This window comes from Homo sapiens, chromosome 1 (genome assembly GCF_000001405.40).
Source record: "Homo sapiens chromosome 1, GRCh38.p14 Primary Assembly".
Classification (NCBI taxonomy): Eukaryota; Metazoa; Chordata; class Mammalia; order Primates; family Hominidae; genus Homo; species Homo sapiens.
In genome coordinates this window covers 31,660,331-31,678,768 of record NC_000001.11, presented here as the reverse complement: position 1 = coordinate 31,678,768, position 18,438 = coordinate 31,660,331, and the positions used below count along the sequence as shown (strand labels likewise).

At 56.6% G+C, this 18,438-nt stretch overlaps 1 protein-coding gene and 1 long non-coding RNA gene across 19 annotated transcripts in view, besides 3 other annotated features; one reads left to right on the top strand and one right to left on the bottom strand.

The window, feature by feature from the left end:
* COL16A1 (collagen type XVI alpha 1 chain) overlaps positions 1 to 18,438 on the top strand; it is a 51,755-nt gene that overhangs the window by 25,249 nt on the left and 8,068 nt on the right. For 9 of the 18 annotated variants that reach the window (XM_017000339.2, XM_011540724.2, XM_005270481.2 and 6 more), the window contains 20 exons: positions 3,458 to 3,511; positions 3,730 to 3,762; positions 5,929 to 6,045; positions 6,132 to 6,173; positions 6,267 to 6,353; positions 7,110 to 7,154; positions 8,123 to 8,167; positions 9,914 to 9,967; positions 10,551 to 10,604; positions 11,141 to 11,194; positions 12,688 to 12,732; positions 12,834 to 12,887; positions 13,151 to 13,186; positions 13,535 to 13,597; positions 16,111 to 16,182; positions 16,382 to 16,435; positions 17,065 to 17,109; positions 17,311 to 17,355; positions 17,650 to 17,703; positions 18,131 to 18,184. In XM_017000339.2, the coding sequence (XP_016855828.1) occupies positions 3,458 to 3,511; positions 3,730 to 3,762; positions 5,929 to 6,045; positions 6,132 to 6,173; positions 6,267 to 6,353; positions 7,110 to 7,154; positions 8,123 to 8,167; positions 9,914 to 9,967; positions 10,551 to 10,604; positions 11,141 to 11,194; positions 12,688 to 12,732; positions 12,834 to 12,887; positions 13,151 to 13,186; positions 13,535 to 13,597; positions 16,111 to 16,182; positions 16,382 to 16,435; positions 17,065 to 17,109; positions 17,311 to 17,355; positions 17,650 to 17,703; positions 18,131 to 18,184 (1,107 nt within the window). Of the gene's footprint in view, positions 1 to 3,457; positions 3,512 to 3,729; positions 3,763 to 5,928; positions 6,046 to 6,131; positions 6,174 to 6,266; positions 6,354 to 7,109; positions 7,155 to 8,122; positions 8,214 to 9,913; positions 9,968 to 10,550; positions 10,605 to 11,140; positions 11,195 to 12,687; positions 12,733 to 12,833; positions 12,888 to 13,150; positions 13,266 to 13,534; positions 13,598 to 16,110; positions 16,183 to 16,381; positions 16,436 to 17,064; positions 17,110 to 17,310; positions 17,356 to 17,649; positions 17,705 to 18,130; positions 18,185 to 18,438 lie in introns of those variants that run through there. The other 9 variants (XM_047446435.1, XM_047446431.1, XM_047446432.1 and 6 more) reach the window with 4 other exon arrangements.
* LOC101929444 (uncharacterized) lies at positions 7,702 to 8,965 on the bottom strand. Its single transcript, XR_001737631.2, has 2 exons — positions 8,417 to 8,965; positions 7,702 to 7,937 (listed from the first exon to the last, which is right to left on the bottom strand). It is a non-coding gene; the product is annotated as an uncharacterized LOC101929444 (long non-coding RNA).
* Positions 10,812 to 11,349: an enhancer, noted in NCBI's record as "H3K4me1 hESC enhancer chr1:32133021-32133558 (GRCh37/hg19 assembly coordinates)". NCBI's record gives its function as "activates a minimal SCP1, AML or CMV promoter by ChIP-STARR-seq in primed H9 embryonic stem cells {active_cell/tissue: H9 hESC(primed)}" and the evidence as "EXISTENCE:reporter gene assay evidence [ECO:0000049][PMID:30033119]".
* Positions 11,890 to 12,428: an enhancer, noted in NCBI's record as "H3K4me1 hESC enhancer chr1:32131942-32132480 (GRCh37/hg19 assembly coordinates)". NCBI's record gives its function as "activates a minimal SCP1, AML or CMV promoter by ChIP-STARR-seq in primed H9 embryonic stem cells {active_cell/tissue: H9 hESC(primed)}" and the evidence as "EXISTENCE:reporter gene assay evidence [ECO:0000049][PMID:30033119]".
* Positions 12,429 to 12,968: an enhancer, noted in NCBI's record as "H3K4me1 hESC enhancer chr1:32131402-32131941 (GRCh37/hg19 assembly coordinates)". NCBI's record gives its function as "activates a minimal SCP1, AML or CMV promoter by ChIP-STARR-seq in primed H9 embryonic stem cells {active_cell/tissue: H9 hESC(primed)}" and the evidence as "EXISTENCE:reporter gene assay evidence [ECO:0000049][PMID:30033119]".

Here is an 18,438-nt window from a genome sequence, read left to right as displayed (position 1 = left end):
CTTCTGCTAAGTGCGCCTAACTCATAGGGCTTTTGTGAGTATTAAACAAGTTAATGCATGTGAAGGGTATAGAATTGTACCCATGACTATTATATATTATTTATGTGACAAATGCTTAGAAGGCATTAGCTATCATTATTATGATGATGAGTACTATTATTATTTTACGTCCATTCTTTTATTCATTTGAGCCTTACATAAAAGCCCCAAAAGGAAGGCAGTATTATTATTCCTAAGTCACAGCTGGACAAGCTGAGGCTCTGAGCGATGGAGTATCTTGTCTAAGGCCGCCCGACTAGGAATTGACAATGCTAGACTGGGGCTTCCCCATGCAAAGCACTTTTTACCTTCTTCTGATGCCTTTCAGGACAGTTCCCAGTGGTTTGCCTAGCAAGCCACGTTTTCCAGAGGTTCTAGGTGGCATAGACACCACTGTCCGTGTGTCTGGCTCCCAGCTCCTAAGAGAGTGATTCTCACCTGAAGAAGCAGGGCAGCATCACATGGAAGCTTTTTACAAGCTACTCCTCCTTGCCCCAATGATTTGATAGATTTTGTATCTTCCCTCCCCACCCCCGCCACCCTGGCACACCTCCCCTGCCACCGTGGGCTGGGAGTCTGCTCTAGTGAGCCACTGTTGCCGATGGGAGTCTCTGCCAGGATCCCAATTCTCTCTACCCTATTGGAAGTGCTGAACTAGAGCCCACGCCACATATTTGCAGCCACACATTTGCCGAGTGTCTGGGGCTTTTGGGGCTTCCTGCCACACTGCCAGGAAACAGGAATCTGTCTGCAGAGGGCTTGCAGTTTGCTTGGGGAAGTGTAAGAGTCATTTCAAAGTGACCCATTAATAAGCGAGAGCTGATGTAGTGTAAACCCTGCCAAGACATGCTGGGGAATGAGGCAGAAAAGAGTGACTGCTGAGTCTGGTCCCAGGCACCAGAGTCCTTACCTAGTGCCAGTGCTTGAGACCAAGCCGAGGCTGCTGCTCACAGGTACCTGCCCCATGCCAGGTGGGATGCAGGAGGGCCAAGCAGCTCCTTTATTCAGGTATAGAAACAGGCTCAGGGATGTACAGCACTTACTCATCCAAGGCTGTATTGTCCCAGTGCTTAGTTATCTCATTTCATCTCAGTCCATTCCACAGAGGAGGAAGCTGAGGCACTGAGGTTAAGAAAGATGCCTGAGGCAACTAGTAGGTCATTGAGCCCAGCTTTCAATTCTGGCTGCACTTCGCTTCCGCAGTAGGACAACAGGTAGAACATTTAGTTCTGAGAGGTCAGGAAAACAATTACAAAGTATCAGGCTTGAACTATCACACTGGCCCTGGAGAGGGGAGCAAGGGATGAATAATGATTTAAGGCATAATAATTAACATGTTCGGGCCAGGCGTGGTGGCTCACGCCTGTAATCCCAGCACTTTGGGAGGCCAAGGTCGGCAGATCACTTGAGGTCAGGAGTTCGAGACCAGCCTGGCCAGCATGGCGAAACCCCGTCTCTACTAAAAATACAAAAAGAATTAACCGGGTTTTGTGGTGCATGCCTGTAATCCCAGCTACTCAGGAGGCTGAGGCAGGAGAATCGCTTGAACCCAGGAAGCGGAGGTTTCGATGAGCTGAGATTGCACCACTGCACTCCAGCCTGGGCGACAGAGTGATACATCTCAAAAATAATAATAATAATAATAAATAAAAAATAATAATTGACATGTTCAAGGCATTTTCCCTGTGCCAGGCACTGCTCTAAGCCCTGATGGTGCACAGAGGTGCCAGGGGGCCTGGATGGTGGCTGGCTCCGGGTCTGACCCAGGCCTGGTAGAGCCTGCCTGGAAATTGCTCGGGGGCTGGTGATATGTTCCATTGCTGGGAGCTGGGACTTGAAGGAAGGCCAGATCTCAGAGTGCGCCAAGGAAATCCTGTGCAGGGAGGAGCAGGCTGAGCAGCGGTGCATTCACTCAACACGTACTTACTGCACATCTCCTCCATGTTGGGTGCTGGGGATTCAAAATGGAACATACTCCCTGCCTCCATGGAGTATTTAATATGCAAATGTGCCTCACGAATCTGCAAGGGGAACATTGTCCGGGTGGCATGGATTTAATGTAAACATCGTTGCAGCCATTGTCTCCTTGAAGCCTCACCATAAACTATCCCTGTTTTATAGATAAGGCAACTGAGGCATAGAATTTTTTTCCCCCAAATAAATTGCCAAAAGTTATACAGGTAGTCAGAATTTTGTATCTAGATGAATCTGACTGGCAAGTACCCACCCTTGCTGTGTACATGAATGTTCTGGGGATGTCTGTTGAGGAATGATGCTAGAATTGTGGTTAAGAGAGGGGTTAGAAGCCAGTGATCCTTGCTCTGGACCTCAGCTCTGTGCCTTGCTCAACTTGTGACCTTTGGCAAGTTACTTACTCCTCTGGGTTCTTTTTTTTTTTTTTTTTTGAGACGGAGTCTCCCTCTGTTGCCTAGACTAAAGTGTAGTGGCGTAATCTTGGCTCACTGCAACCTCCATCTCCCAGGTTCAAGTGATTCTCCTGTCTCAGCCTCCCGTGTATCTGGGACCACAGGCACACACCACCATGCCCTGCTAACTTTTATATTTTTAGAAGAGACGGGGTTTCGCCATGTTGGCCAGGCTGGTCTCGAATTCCCGGCCTCAGGTGATCCGCCCACCTCGGCCTCCCAAAGTGCTACGATTGCAGGTGTGAGTGACCGTGCCCAGCCTCCTCTGGGTTCTTTGTGCTATTTTTAAGATGGAGATAACAGCACCTAGTTCAACAAGATAGCTGTGATGATTAAACGAGAAAATAGGCTGGGTGTGGTGGTTCACGCCTATAATTTCAACATTTTGAGAGGCTGAGCGGGGAGGATCACTTAAGCCCAGAAGTTTGAGACCAGCCTACCAGCGAGACCTGGTCTCTATAATAAACACAAAAGAATTAGCCAGGCATGGTGGTGAGCGCCTCTAGTCCCAGCTACTCAGGAGGCTGAGGTGGGAGAATCGCTTGAGCTGAGTTTGAGGCTACAGTGAGCTATAATTATGCCATTGCACTCCAGCCTGGGTGACAGAGTGAGACCCCGTCTCTACAAAGAAAAAAAGAAAAAAGAAAAGGAAAGGAAAAAGAAAGAGAGAAAATATAGAAAAACGACTTAGCACAGAAATAAACAGTAGTTCCATGGAAGACCCTCTGCTCAATTTCTGACCTTCCCTCTGATGTGGGGGGAAAACACTTGCTGTTGGACGGTTTGGGGGGTCGCTCTTCTGGGCCTCCCTGGCTTTCCCTATAAGGGTCGAGAGGCTTTTGAGCTAAGAATAGATGTCAGCCTTGTGCCAGCCAGGGCTCTCAGCTCTGCAGGACAAGGGGAAGAGGAGGCGGGGATGATGAGAAGGAAACAGGCTGACCAGCAGGCTAGAGAGATGGAGCCCACTCACTCGTGTCTCTTCTTGGCTACAGGGAGTGCCTGGAAACAACGGTTTGCCAGGACAGCCTGGGCTCACTGCAGAACTGGTGGGTACTGGCCAGGACTCCCTGTGCATGCCCCTTCCCTGCCCTTCCCAGGGCTGCTCAGGCTATGAAGCTGGCCCGGTAGCTGCAGTGGGGGTCCCTCTTCTCTCCCACTTCTGAGGCTGGAAGGTGCATGACGTGTCCCAAGGCTCTCCCTGATCCCATAAGTCTCCATGTTCCTTCCCCTCACCTGCTTGAGCCCACACATCTGTCTCTTGCAGGGATCCTTACCAATTGAACAGCACCTCCTTAAGGTAAGAGGGTACCCAGGAGGGAAGTGTGAGCTGGCGGGGGTGTCTCCTAAGGGGATTCTCTTAGTAAGTGCTCAGCTGTGTGGCACCTCGCAGAGAGAGCAGCAGTTTGCAGGGAATACGCATTCCAAGCATCTGTCTAAGAGGGCCTAGCTGATGCCTGGCTTGTAACAGGCCCCCAGGCAACATTTGCTGAATGAGTGCTTAAAGGAATCCTGTGAAGGTGCCCACATGGCAGATGCTGTCGGCAGAACCCAGCCCTGAAGCCTGCCCGCAGCAGCTGGCAATGAGACCCCGTAGCACCCGGGTCACCCTGCGGCAGAGCCCAGCAGCTTCCAAAGCAAAGCAGAGGGGGTGAAAGTGCAGTGGTGGGGGGCTGTGAGATTGGGTGTGGCCTGGAAGAAAGCTTCAGCTGTTCTCTAGTCAATCCAGAAAGAATCCAGGGAGGAGATGGATTTGAGAAGCACTTCTGGTAGTCTAAGAAAGGGGACTTCGGACCTGGTCAGAGGGTCGGCCTGTGCCAGGGCCTGTACACAGCCTTAATGCTCTACCAGAGGGCTGTGGCCTGGGCCGGCTTCCCAAACTGAGCAGAAGTTCCTATTGGAATCAAGAGTCACATAGCCCATCTTTGCTTAGTCACCTCTAGAAACGAGAGCACAGTAATTCCCCAGGTTGCCTTCAGGTTTTTGAAGGAGGCCCTTATGTTCCTGGACTTTCTCTCCTCTAGCCCAGCATCCTCAGGGGTCTTTCCCATGTGTTGGCCTCCAGAGCCCCCCCTCATCCTGGCCACCCTCTTCTGACACTGGCTAATTAGTGCCCTGGACATCCCATGACCCCGATGGGCCTTGGTCAGGGCAGAGCATGGGGGCTGTCTACCCCTTCCCTGCTCTGAACGGCAGATTTCTCCAGAAGCAGCCAGAGGAGGTCGGGGTAACCTCTTGGCATCAGTTACATGTTGGATCACAGTGAGGTTGTGGCAACGAAACCCCCAGCTCTTCTCCCCTCTGCTTCTGTCAATGACTGGGCAGTGATCGTGTGACTCCAAATCCAGGATTTGACATTTCTCCTGTAACATTTCATCTGTTGGCTTCTTCATCAAGTGCTCTTCAGAGGATTCCAAATAGAAAGTGCGCATAGTGTGGAGAAGGGGTCAGATGGCACCCCGGGGCATGCTGACCCAGAGCCCCAGCCACCACCTGCACCCATAGTCCAGGAAGCCTGGGGAGAGAGCACTGGCTGTGGCCTAGGACAGGCCCACGCCAATCCAGGCTCCCACTTTCCTTAGACAAGTCACGCCGCCTCTCTTGAGTGGGCTTTCCCATCTCCACAATGCTTATAAGATTCCCTGTCTCACTGCGCCGTCAAGATGGCATGTGATAATGTGCAGGGCTTATTATGTACAATGCCCAGCGTCATGGGTGCTGAGTAAATGCCAGTCGTTATTACTGGGCTTGGTGGTGAGCAGTGAAAGTGAGCAGGGGCTCCTGCCTGGGCATCTGTGGACACGACACTGGCCACAAACAGGCTCCGGGCTCCTGAGTCCTCAGAAATTGCAGGCTGGTTTTCACTAGTGGGTTTGATTTTTCTGAGAAAAGGACCCATAGCTTCCATCAAACTCTCAGAGGGGTCTGTGACCCAAAGAAGGTTAAAGCCCTTCCTGTGGGGAAGACAATTCTGGTGGCGCGATCCGAGCCAGGAGCCTGTGAGCAATCTGAGATCTGTCCCAGGGGCTCCTGGGAAGGGCCTGGCTCCTCCCGCAGCTGTTCCTTTGCTCCCTTGGGCAGAGAAGCTGGCGTTCGGAGCCAGCCTTTCCAGCCTCACTCCTCGTGGCTTGTCCTCGCAGTGGGTGCAGGTTGCAGGAACAGCCGGGACAGATGGTCCCTCTGCGGGCCCCTCGCCTCCACCCACATGCCTGTCTGGAAAGTGGCTTTGGCTTAGCTGTACCAGAGCTTCTTCCTGGAGGAAACTCAAAGCCAATTGTTGGGAGTGGGTCCCCCGAGGATGGAGCAAAGCTGCCGCAGGGATGCGGCTGGGGAGGGAGGGAGTGTGGGAGGAGGGAAGACGGCAGGGCAGGGAGCCCTGGCTCTGGGTTCTCACTGGGGCTCCCCAGTTGGCCCATCCTGCCCATCTCTAACCCAGGCCCCACTCCTCTCCCCACTCCCTGATCAGAGTATCTGCGGGGACTGTGTCCAGGGGCAGAGGGCCCACCCAGGGTACCTCGTGGAGAAGGGAGAGAAGGGAGACCAGGGCATCCCTGGTGTGCCAGGCCTCGACAACTGCGCCCAGGTAAGGGACTGGGCTTGGGGCTGCCCTATGCAGGAGGGTTCCCTGGCTGCCTCATCAGACAATGTGCCTCTCATTGTCCCTTGCAGTGCTTTTTGTCACTGGAGCGCCCAAGAGCCGAGGAGGCCCGGGTGAGTGCCTCGCCTTATCTCCCCCGATCATGCCCCATGCCCCACAGGGACAGGCCCTGACTGCTCACTATCACCGTCTCCATCCTTCTCCAGGGTGACAACAGTGAGGGAGATCCTGGCTGTGTTGGGAGCCCAGGCCTACCTGGTCCTCCGGGATTGCCAGGCCAGAGAGGAGAAGAGGTAAGACCAGGGATGGGGATTCATCCTCAAGGGAGCTGGGGCCCTGTCTGCCTTTGAGACCTCTTGGGGGCCTCCGAGGCCTCACCTGACTGATGCCCTTTACCACTCTGGGCTCATCTGCTCTCCTGGCACGTGGCTTCTCTGGGATACACAGGACCCAGCGTAGGACACACTCTTTCTCCCCAGTGCCCAGCTGCATCCTCTGCCTGCAACGCTCTTCTCCAGGGCTTATTCCTGCACTCCTTCAGCTCGGCTCAAATGTCTCCTTCTCAGAGAGACCTCCCCTGACCACCCTCTTTAAAATTGAACTCCACACCAACCCCAGAGCCTCCAGTCCCCTTGGCCTGCATCATACTCATCACCATCCAACATCCTGCCTATTTACTTCATTCAGGAACATTCTACAGGTGTCAGCTCAACACCAACTATGTGCCAGCTCCTGTTCTATTTGTTAGTGTCCGTCTCTCCCCTAGAATGTAACTGCTTTGAGGCAGGGGTTTTTATTTATTTTGTTTATGCTGTGATCCTAGCCCCTGGACTAATGCCTGGTACGTAATAGTTGCTTGTTAAATGTTTGTAGGATGACCGAATGGGCCAAATGAAAGATTGTTCGAACATCAGCTAAGTGGTCCTGCTTGGACAGCAGCCACCCTCTGTTGACCTTGGCCCTGGCAAGCTGGGAGGAAGGCTGCTGGAATCCCAGGGGCTCTATGGGGCCTGGGCCTCTTCATCCATTTCCCTTGGCTTCCTTTGCAGGGTCCGCCTGGCATGAGGGGCTCCCCGGGTCCTCCAGGCCCTATCGTAAGTATCAGTGGTGCCCTGGTCTGCTTGAGAAGCTCTCAAAGGGGTCATTACACTCAGACACCATCCCGCGGCCTTGTCCCCAAAAGGCTGGGCAAGGCAGGAGGAGGGAACTTCCACTGCCCTCCCCATCCCTCCGCAGAGCATCTGCAGGGACTGTGCTCTCCCACCACCGGATGCCCTGGAACCGCCCTGCTCTGCCTACTGCCTGCGGTCCTGCTTAGGGGAGGTCCTCAGAGGCACCTCTTTGCTTCCCTGTCCCCACCCTCTGCTGCGCTTTCCACAGTGGCCCCAGGCCGCCCTCGGCAGGGGGCCTAGGCTTCAGGCTCACAGCCTCCCAACCAGGGAAGCATGCGGCATGCTGGCCAGACCTCTCCATGCCCCTGTGACTCCAGTCCCCACAAGGGCTCGGGGCTAAGATGGAGCTGTCCTCCATTGCTCTGTAGGGCCATCTCTAGGGTAAATCTACAAAAACCAGACCAGGGTATCTACTCTGGAGTCCTCTGTGATGTTGACATGGCAGGAAAATAGAAGTGACTAGGAAAGATTGAAAGAACTGAAAATGCTTTCTCTGGAGAAGAAAATGGCTGGTGGGAGCTGTCTTAGAGCCAGGGAGCCCCCCACTCGGGGGACAGGTGGAGGTCGGGTGGCAGGCATGGTGGGCAAGGCTGAAAGAAATGGGCTTCTGCTGCAACCGGATCTTCAGTTAGACTCCGGAAGACTCAGGAAGCCCTCTGACTCTGGAGCCATTCCGCATCTCCGTCAACGGAGGAGCCATTCTTCCTGGAGCCAAGGGGAGGAACAGTTGTCTTTTGAGCCAAGACTTTCAAGGAGTCTCTTTTCCAGCTGCCTTGAAAATACTCCCATGACCTCCTCTCCCCATGACCCCCAAGCCCCAGACTGTGCCCTCCAGGCTGTCCCAGGGTTACTGTGCCTGTGAGATGTGACCTGCCTGTTTCTCCCACCAGGGCCCCCCAGGTTTTCCTGGTGCTGTTGGCTCCCCCGGATTGCCTGTAAGAACCTAGCGCTGCTCGACCTCCCCTCCCCCCCGTCAGCCAGGTCTCTGTGGCTTTTGCTTGTCTCCCTCCTGTCGTGCCTTCACCTCCGTCCTCCGTGTTTGTTGTCCCCCTTCAGGCACGGTAGCTAACGACACGGGTTCTCTGAGGTCCCGGCAGCTTGGACATCCTCCCAGTCTCTGACTCCTTTCCGTTTTCTCCTCTCCCTCCTCTCCTGCGTTCTTTCTCTCCTCTTCTCTCTCTTACCCCGTTCTGTCTTCCTTCTCCATTTCTCGCACCATCTTGCAGCACTCCCCCAAGTCCTCCTGAGCTCGTGAACCTTCCTCTTAAGCTGGTGCCTCTAGGGGGCCCCTCCATTCCTGCCTTCTCGCTCTGCCTCCTGCTTCTCACCACCTTCGGCGTTGCCTGAAGATTTGCTGAAAGTAGTTCTTGGGGCCCTGCCAGGCACCTGGCTCAGAGCCCAGCAGAGATGCCAAAGCTTTAGGGCTTCACATTGCAGGCTGGCACAGGTTTGCTGCCCTGCTGCTTGGCAGGGCTGTCCAGAGGCACCCAGGGATTTAAAGGCAGCCCTTCCTGCGCCTTTTCCGTCGTCCTAGAGGAAACTCTCAGCTGCCTCCTCTTCGCTTCCTCTTCCTTGGCTCCAGTCCCAGTCTGCTCCAAGGCGGGGCATGTGATATCAGCCAGTTGGGTTTCTGGGTGTCGTGCGGCCCTGCCCCTCTGTGCCCGGCACCTTGGCCGGCTCCTTCTGCCAGGTGTCGTTAATTGCTCTGCCTTCGTCATCGTCACAGGTGTGTTTACATCACCCCCAGCCTCATTGTTGCTCCCTCCTGGGTCACGGAAACTAACCTCCTGTTTGTCAGGTTTTGTGTTCCTGGGGCCTGGCTCCTCTCCTCCCAGGCCTGGTGATGGAGGCTCAGGGAGCAGGGCCCCTCCTCGTCACAGTTCCATCTGTCCCCACGTCCTCATCTGTGGCCGGGCCTTGTCTGTTTCTGCTTGCTTGGGTGAAGGGGCCATCTGTCCGTCTAGCCATCTGTCTTATGTCATGGAAAGGTTTGGGCGTCATCTCTTGAGGGGATGAGGGAGAAGGGGGCAGGAAAGGTGCCCTTAATGGCATGGCACCTGCAAAGGCTGGGGTAAGGAATTAGGGGTGGGGGCTGTAGCTCTCGTGGAAAGTGACATGCCCTCTCACCCTACAAAGTGACAGGGACTGCTCTGGAGGCAGCCTTCCTGTGTCTCTCCCCTGCCTCCCTCCAAGAAAGTGATTTTTGCTTGGGGTGGGGGACTTGGACAGGTAAGTGTTGGGTATCTGATGATATGATACACTTTGGTGGCAGCATCCATCTGGGGTACCTCTCCTGACAGTTGCCCCTCAGAATAAGCACACATCTGATCCATCACCTTCCTAAAGGTGTACGCCAGTCAGTTACCATGGCAGGGCATACCAGCGACGGGCACCTGAGAGATACCCTCCCAGAGTCACCTCTGCTGGAGGGCATATCTCTATAGTTATCTATCTTGAAGGGTATCCTCCTGAGAGGCACCCATATGTGGGGTTCACACCTCCACCAGTCATCCTGCTGGAGCACACCCATTACGGGTCACCTTCTAGGGACACTACGAGAGCCACTATGGCCTCCATATTTGCCTGGAGTGGGAACAGAAGGCAGTGGGGCAGGGGGAAGGAGTCAGGGGCTGGGTGGGGACCGCCGGCTCCTGCAGTTTCTCATGATTTTTCTCTCCAAGGGCCTTCAAGGAGAGCGAGGTCTCACGGGCCTGACTGGAGACAAGGGGGAGCCGGTAAGAAGAAGCTGGCAGGGGCTGGAAAGGGCTGGAAAGGGAGGAAGAGCTGGGGAGGCAGAGCTTGAGCTCTGAAGGGTGGCTGCTGAGTGGAAGCTGGGAGGTGGACTCCTTGAGACTCTCTGCCCTTCTGCCGGGATTCCCTCAGTGTGAGGTTTCCACACTCCCCCAGGAGCAAAGGAGGCCGATCTCCATGTGCCCTGACTCCCTGCCAGAAGCATGCACAGCCCCTGTCCTCCAGCAGCGTCCCTGGGGGCTCCCCTCCCTCCCTCGGCTGTTGTCACTCAGCATCCCAGCCCACCCCCTCTTCCCTGGTCCTCATGCCTGCTCTGGGCTCCCTGCTCCGGCTCAGCTCTCAGGGTCTGGGCCAGGCTGGGGTTCGCCTCCCCAGCCCAGGTCTGTGGTGGTGGTCACGACCGAGGGGACCTGGGGCTTGGGGAGATGGCCCAGTGTGCAATGCTGGGGCAGGCTGGCACCTGCTAGATGGCAGCCCCAGAGGTTTTAGCTTTGGCCATCCTCTTACCCAGCGAGGGGAGAACAGAAATGTTGGGGGGCTATCCATCATGTCTGCCTTTCTTTGCAGGGTCCTCCAGGGCAACCAGGTTACCCAGGTGCCACGGGCCCCCCAGGACTGCCTGTGAGTAAGGGGACCCTTGCTGGGGAGTGGGTGCCAGGTACCAGAGGTTTGGGCTGGTGGTCAGGACACAGCCAGGCTGGGCAACCCTCGGCGGGCTCCCCATTACCGGGCATTTCAGCCTCCTCCTTTGCCTAAAGTCCATGCAGCCCCCTCTCCCCACTGTAGGCCCCCTTGGCAGTGTGGATTGGTCCCACCACTCTGCTCAGGCCTGACTCTCAGAGCACTCTGCCAGGCCCAGACACAGCAAGAACTGAGATCTGCCTCCTGGGGGTGAGGGGTTTGGGAGATTGGAGAGACAGCTTAGAGGTGCCACCCCCACAGAAGCTGCTGGGTGGGTGTGTCCTCCTTTCCACTGGGGGCTTGGGGGGCACGGTGGCAGATGGGAGGCACGGCAGCTTTGGAGCACCCAGCGGTCCTCCCAGTGCCATTCCCCCAGAGCCAGTCTGGGTGCCAGCTGCAGTCTCCGCTCCTCGCATTAGTGCCGTGACGGACTAATTCTGTGGGGCTAATTCCACTGTCTCTTTGCCACTTGTCAGGGCATCAAGGGGGAGCGTGGCTACACCGGGTCAGCGGGAGAGAAAGGAGAGCCGGTGAGTCCCAGCGGCGTGGGGCTGGATGCAGGGCTGCACGTGGAGCCACACAGTCTCGGGCTGGAGACTTGGCAGCAGCCTGTGAAGGGGAGGATCGTGACCCCTGCTGCCCCCCTGCCCCCAAGCCTGCAGCACAGGCTGGGTGCTGTGGAGGTGGAGGCTGTGAGGAGAATCCCCGCAGGGCTGCCAAGGGGAGGGTGCCAGGAGGCAGCCGCAGAAGCACTCCTCCGCCTCCTACAAAGGAGGACCTGGGATTATAGACCCCCAGTGGACCCCAGCTCCCCAGAGCCACCCTCCAGAGCCAAGGCCTGCCAGGCCCCACGTTGAGCACAGGAGTTGGGCTGTGACCAGATGAGGACACTGGGGCCCCCAGAGTGACAAAGCTGAGACTCACCCAGGCTCCTGAAGCTAGTGAGTGAGGTAGTGGTGGAACCTGGGCTTGAACACACATCTATCTGGTGACAAACCTCACAAACCTCAGATCTAGGATCAGCCAAACTGGGACTGCAGCCTTACAGATTCACCAGTTTCAGTGAGGCCCCAGTGGGATTCAGCAAACTCCATCAGGCATTTACTCAGTAATAGATATTTCTCAGGGGCCTGTGGGGTGCCAGGCTCCCCTCTGAGGATGTCTCCATGAACAGAGCGCAGTTGCCCTCTTGCCCTGCCGTGGGGGAGGGAGCTGCCAGATGAATAAACAAGTGCCTAGGAACGATGAGGACTGGGACTCATGGAGGAAATGGGACAGGGGAAGGGGCTGGAGAGGTGTTTGGGCACCATCGAAGCGGAGGGGCAGGAAGGCCTCTCTGAGCAGGTGGCATATGAGCTGAGAGCTGACTAGCAGGAGGGAGGGATCCCTGTGGCTGTCTGTACTGGGGAATTCCAGAGGGAGAGGCTGGGTGGGGCACTGCAGGAACAGCTTCCAGCCATCAGATGATTTGGCAAGGGTTCAGGGGACCTAGGAAGGGGGGAAGGGGGCATTCTAGGTAGAAGAGAAAGCTGTGCTAAGGGTGCAAAGGCCTGGGGGTGTGAGGGTATAGAGTGTGTCAGAGAACAGCAGTCTGACTGAGCAAGGCGGAAGATGAGAAGGAGAGAGGGAGGAGAAGTGGGAAGGGGTGGCTGGTGCCAGATCACAGGCTGCCTCAAAGACCAGCGTTGGTGGAAAGTGTGCGCCCCACTCAGAGGCAGAGGGAGCCGCATAAGGTGTTTGAGCAAGAGAGTGACATAATCAGAGCTATGCTGGAGGAGAAGAGGGCAGCCATTTGCTGGCTGGCTTGCAGTGAGCCAGGAGGTGGCAGGACGAGTTAGGAGGCTGGTTCAGTAGCTCGGGCAAGAGCAGGGAAGCCTGAGCAGATCAGGCAGAGGGGGCCTGCCAGCCCAGGGGCCTCCCAGCACATGCCACCTCTGTTCTGGGCAGTCCCCTGTCACATCCCCCTACCTCATCCTTCACCTCCCCAGGAGGAGTGACTGATTCTGTTCCTTTGTATCCTTAGGGCCCCCCAGGATCTGAAGGCCTCCCAGGCCCCCCAGGCCCAGCGGTGAGTGAAGGAGGGCATGGGGAGATGTGGTCCTGGTCTTGTCCTGGGGTCTGAGGGCAGGAAGATTAGGTTTCGGCTGCATTGTTCTCTGTGGGTGACAGGGTCCCAGAGGAGAGCGAGGACCCCAAGGTAACTCCGGTGAGAAGGGCGACCAGGTGAGTGACGACTGGGACCTGGCTGCAGGGAGGCAGGGAAGGAGCTGGGTCCCTGGTGATCACCAGCTCTAGTCTCCCCACCCTACCTGTCCTTGGGTTGTGACCTACCTCATGCCCAGAGCCTCACCTGCCAGCCATGGTGGGCAGAGGGGAGGGCAAAGCCCATGGGTTTGAGGGTGCCCCCCCCGTCACTCTTTCCACCTGGGCAGCCAGGCAGGAGAGAGGGGGTGGCACAGCACACTGCCCCTTGCTTCTCACCCTAGGGATTTCAAGGCCAGCCAGGCTTTCCGGGCCCACCGGTGAGTGAAGAAGACACAAAGCCAGCTCTGTCTGATGTGGTCTCATCGGGAGGGGCAGGCCTGACCAGGCCAGGCTGGGGTAGGATGGTCCTGGGGAGAAGAGGGGAGAGGCAGGGGAGAACGGCCTGGGTGGCCAGGCCTGATTCCAGGAACCAGGACCTGGAGAGCCCAGCCTCTTGTGTGGGCCCCAGCCCAGCAGGCCAGGCAGACGTAATGCTCCCAAGTGGTGCTTCTAGGAAGTCAAAATGAATTGCATTAACAACAGTGCATCATGCACAGGAAGAATAAAGAAGGGGAGCTCCCCCTCCAGCCCCACTTTCATTCCTGCCTGCCCCTTTGTTGATACAGGGTCCCCCTGGATTCCCAGGCAAAGTTGGATCACCTGGCCCACCTGGCCCTCAAGCAGAGAAGGTGAGCAGGACCCTGGGTTGGCAAAGTCACAGATCTGAGCCATGCAGCTCCCATGCCCCTGTCCCACCCCTAGCATCAGGCTTTCAGGAAATTCCAAGACTGACCCAGTTGCACTGAGGCTGGGAAAAGAGGCCTCCAGGATGGGCCCAGTGACTACTGGAGGCCGACAGGGCTTGCAGTGGACCAGTGGGCTCCTCGGGATGTCTGCTTGGCCCAGGATGCCTGCGGCCTCTGTGCAGCCCAGGCCCTTGTCTGCTGTGATGGGGGGAAAGGCAGGGAGGTAGGTGGGGAGGAGGCAGGGGGTCTGATGGAGGAGTAGAATGTGATAGGCAGCCCAGGCCACCTTCGTCTCCTGGGCGGGAGGATGAGCGAGGAGCTGAGAGAAGGGGGAAGCACGTCCTGAAGGAGGACACCAACGTGGAAGGGGAATGGGCTCCTCCTGGGTAGCCGTGCTCCAGTTGTCCCCAAGGGCCCAGAGAGGGCAGGGGTGGCCCGTGTCCTGCCTGGTGACAAGGGTTGGGGGAGCAGCAGTTGGCGGAGCTCCTATGCTGGCTGCTCTTGACTTTGGCTTGATAAATGCTGGAGACATGGCTCTGCCTTGGCTTGGGGCTGACATCCCTGTCTCGGCCCAACCTCTGGGCTCCCTAGATGTGCTGAGTGGGTGGTGTAAGAAGCCCGAAGATTGACTTCTGAGCTTGGGGTCGGGGGACCTGGGTTCAGAGGGACAGGTGGGAGCCTCTTTCCCCTGAGCCTTGTGGAGAGCCTCTTTCCCCTGAGAGCACACGCATGAACGTCTCACTGTGCAGGTGAGGAAACTGACACCCACAAGGCTTGGGGCAGCCCAGAGGCACACAGTGGTGTTAGCAGCAGAGCTGAGACTTCCTTCCCAGCTCCAGGAGGACCCGGGCACCTCACTACCTCCCCAGAGCCCATGCTGATCAGCCATGCTTGGGACAGTGGTGGTTGCTAGCCCCCTTCCCCTTCCCCTTCCCCTTCCCCTTCCCCTTCCCCTTCCTTCCCCTCCCCAGGACCTGAGTGGCAGCCCCTGCTCTCCTTAGGCTGGTCATTGCAGAGAATCCCAAACCTCTGGCCAGTGGTTCTTCATCCCAACTGCCAGTGGGGGCCAACATTGGTTGGGGCTCTGCTGACCCCTCCTGGTGGCTGGTGGCATTACAGAGCCCCCGAGTTCATTTTCCCCTTTGCTGGGTCTCTCTAGCGGGATTCCTTCCCTTGACCACCCTACAGCCACTGATCCAGGGCAGCCACCCTCTCCACACTGGGAGAATGCAGCCACCTTCCCCGCTATGCTGCTTGCCTCCCCCCGCCTTTTCTGGTAAACATTCCAATCCATGCATCAGTTCTCATCACTCTTCTGCTTTGAACATTCAATGGCTCCCCAGTGCCTGTAGCAGGGGTTTTCAGACTTTATTTTGTAGTCCCAGAGTCTTTTTATCACATAAAAGCAAATGTAAAAACCTCAATCTATAAAACAAATACAAGCGGAGATTCCCTGGCTAAGACAACGGTGGGGGTCCTAGAGTCCCTCTCTTCAGTCCCCACTTCATGCCCCCAGCTTCTAGGCTCCCCCAGAAGCCCCAGTGCTCTGAGAAGTACAGCTTAAAAACCACTGACTGTTCGATAAAGTTTAGCACAGCGTTCAGGGCCCCCACTCATCATGGTGACTCTTCCAGCCTCTTCTGCCTGCCAGCCCATCCCACAGGCTCCCCCAGATGCCCTGGCCAGGCCAGGCATGTGCCCACTTGCAAGTCTTTATCCTTCTCTTAGGTTCCCTCTGGCATGCACTTTTCTCCTCCACCTGCCCAATCCCAGACATCCTCAGAGTCTAGCATCTGGTGACACTTCTGTGACACTTTCCCTGATCCCCAGCCAGAGGGAACTGCTCCCCGCTCCTGAGCTCCCTGAGCCCCTTTCCACACAGAACACTTAGACTGTTGTATTGCCCCTGGTTGTGTTGGGCCCATGACCCTCACTGGACTGTGAGCTCCTTGAGGACAGGGGCACCCACTTTTTCATCTTGGGGAATCAGAGCCCACATGGTGCTGCGTGCGCTGTTGAGGCCTCTGTGCAGCCCGGGCCCATGTCTGCTGGGATGGGGGGAAAGGTAGGGAGGTAGGTGGGGAGGAGGCAGGGGGTCTGATGGAGTAGAATACAACAGGCAGCTTTCACAGTGGATTGAAGCTGTGCTTTCAGTTCAGCACATGCTACTGAGCCCCTGCCATGCCAGCCCCTGGGTCAGCACTGGAGAAGATGCCCTGTCCCTTCCTCATGGGGCAGCAAGGAAAGGGGATGCTTTGCAGATGAAGACAGATCCTCCTGGGGAGGCGACGTGTGGCACATATGCAGTTAGACAGGGACAGATTGGGCCCAGAAGCCAGCTGTCCTGTTTCCAGCAGTCACCAGGACCCTTGACCCAGGGCCTGGTCTCCATGGGTGGGGCAAAGCCCTGCTGACTTTATTGTGGGGCGGGGGGGGGGGGCGGCGCTGGTTTCCAGGGCAGCGAAGGGATTCGAGGCCCATCAGGCCTGCCTGGCTCCCCTGGGCCACCGGGACCTCCTGGGATTCAGGTGAGTGTGTGCCCTTTCAGCGTGGCAGACGTGTGCGATGCATGCGCATGTGTGTGGTGCATGTGTGTGTGTGCACCTGTGTGTGTGTGCTGAGGTGGGAGTCAGGGGAGGGGTGGAGAGAATTGAGGGGTTGGGCCAGGCCTCCCACCTCCTAGGGCTCCCGCACCAGCATGTAGAAATGCCTCTTTCCTGTTTCCAGGGCCCCGCCGGTCTGGATGGTTTGGATGGGAAGGACGGCAAGCCTGGCTTGAGGGTGAGATGATGGGCTGGGAGGGCGGGCACCCCTTCCTCTCCTTTTTGCCAGAGGAGCCAAAGTCAAGGGAACCCTGATGGAAAGAACCGAAGTATCCCCGTCTTTGTCAGGGGGCACCCATGCCCTCCCTCGGTCTGTCTCCCTCTACCCCAGCTCCCCGATGGCACCACAGCCCCTTGGCTTCCCAGTTCTCCTAGTGGCCTTAAGCAGGTTAGGCGAGCTAGGTCTCACCAAAGGCAGGATGGTGAAGGCATGATGTATGCAGAAACTCAAGACAGCTGAGGAAACCAGGCTGGGCTTCAGGAAGAATGAGGGTGTGGACATGGAAGGACTTGAGCAAGCCCTGGCTCCTGGGGTTTTGCTGGGGAATCTGAAAGGGCTGGGGCCACAGGACAGGGTAGAACATCAAAGTCAACCCCCTTATATATCCCAAAGAAGGAAAGCTAAGGCCCGGAGAGGGGCTGGAAGTCACTGAGGATCCACAGCCAGTCAGAGGCTGAGCCAGGCTTGGATTCTTCCCTCCATCTTAGGATAGCTGGGGAGGGCTGGAGAGAGGGGAGGACAGAGGTATGAGTTGGATACAAGCTGGGCAAAACTCTTGTCTCAATCCTCCTCGTCTCTTTCCCTAGGGGGACCCTGGTCCTGCTGGCCCCCCTGGACTCATGGGACCACCGGTAAGTTGAGCTGCAGGAAGGAGTTGGAAGCTGCGAAGTTGCAGCTTCTGCCTGGGTGGCTGCAACAGCTCAAATCCAGATCCTCCGTGGACCGTGTTATGACTTTGGATTGGTTTGAATTGTTTGAACTGAGGAAGGAGGAGTGGGAAGAGGCCCCCAGCTGACATGAGGGACATGAGAACTCCCTGCTTTTTCTTTCAGGGCTTTAAGGGGAAAACAGGACATCCTGGCCTCCCAGGACCTAAGGTAAGGGCTGGTGACCTCTGCCAAGCAGGTTATCTCTGCTCTCCTGAAGGCTTGCCCCCAGGCATACATGGCAGCCTATCCTGGGCAGAGAGGCCATCCCAGCATCAGAGCCTCCTGGGGCCACTGGTGCCTGGCAGACTGGGTCAGGGCTTCTCTGTCTACCAGCTGGAGGGCATCAGAGGGCCTCTGGCCAAAGCTGGGGCAGGTGGCAGGGTCCCTCTGATGTGAGGTTGACTTGGGGTAGGGATGTCAAGTGAAGGTCTGGTAAGCTCCAGCTGCTCCTCTCTCTTCTAGGGTGACTGTGGCAAACCAGGTCCCCCTGGCAGCACTGGCCGGCCTGGCGCAGAGGTGAGGGCCAGGGATCCACATGGCTGCCTTCAGTTTGCCTTCAGACTCTGCAGAGTCTGGGATGCAGCCGCTTCTTCCTGCTCACTGGCAAAGTGGCTGCTTTCTGTCCTCAGCCTTCTGGGAGGGGTGTCACCCAACACTGCACGTCTTGAACTTTCTCCCTCCTATTAAGGGTTGTAACTGGTTCTGCTCCCTGGAGGTTACTGGGTCACCAACCTAAAAAGGCAGGGCCTGGCCTGCTCAGGCTGAGGATCCGCCTTCTCTACCTAACTCTCCGGGAAACTTGGGTCTGGAGGCTGGGAATTGGCCCAGCTCCTTTGGCCATTGGCATTACCATGTATTCTGCCCAGCCCCCTCCCATCCGACAGCCACATGGTGCAAGCAAGTCAGTTTCAGTGTCATTTTTTCCTTTTTCTGGCTCCTGCAGGGTGAACCTGGTGCCATGGGACCCCAGGGAAGACCCGGTCCCCCGGGACACGTTGTGAGTTGAACCACTTTTGTCTCTGTCTCCATAAGAGTTAGCATTTTGGCGGGGTGGTTGGTGGTGCATAGGCTGTCATGACCTGAGAGAACTTGCCATAGGGGCTGCCCCAGCCGTGGGAGCACGGGGGCCACTCCTTCTGTGGTTTCCAGGCTTTTCGTTATTTTCTTATTTTCTGGGCACATTCAAGTTCACTTATCAGATGGAGGTCATTCAGTCAACAAATAATTGTGGAGCCCCTGTGCCATGCCAGG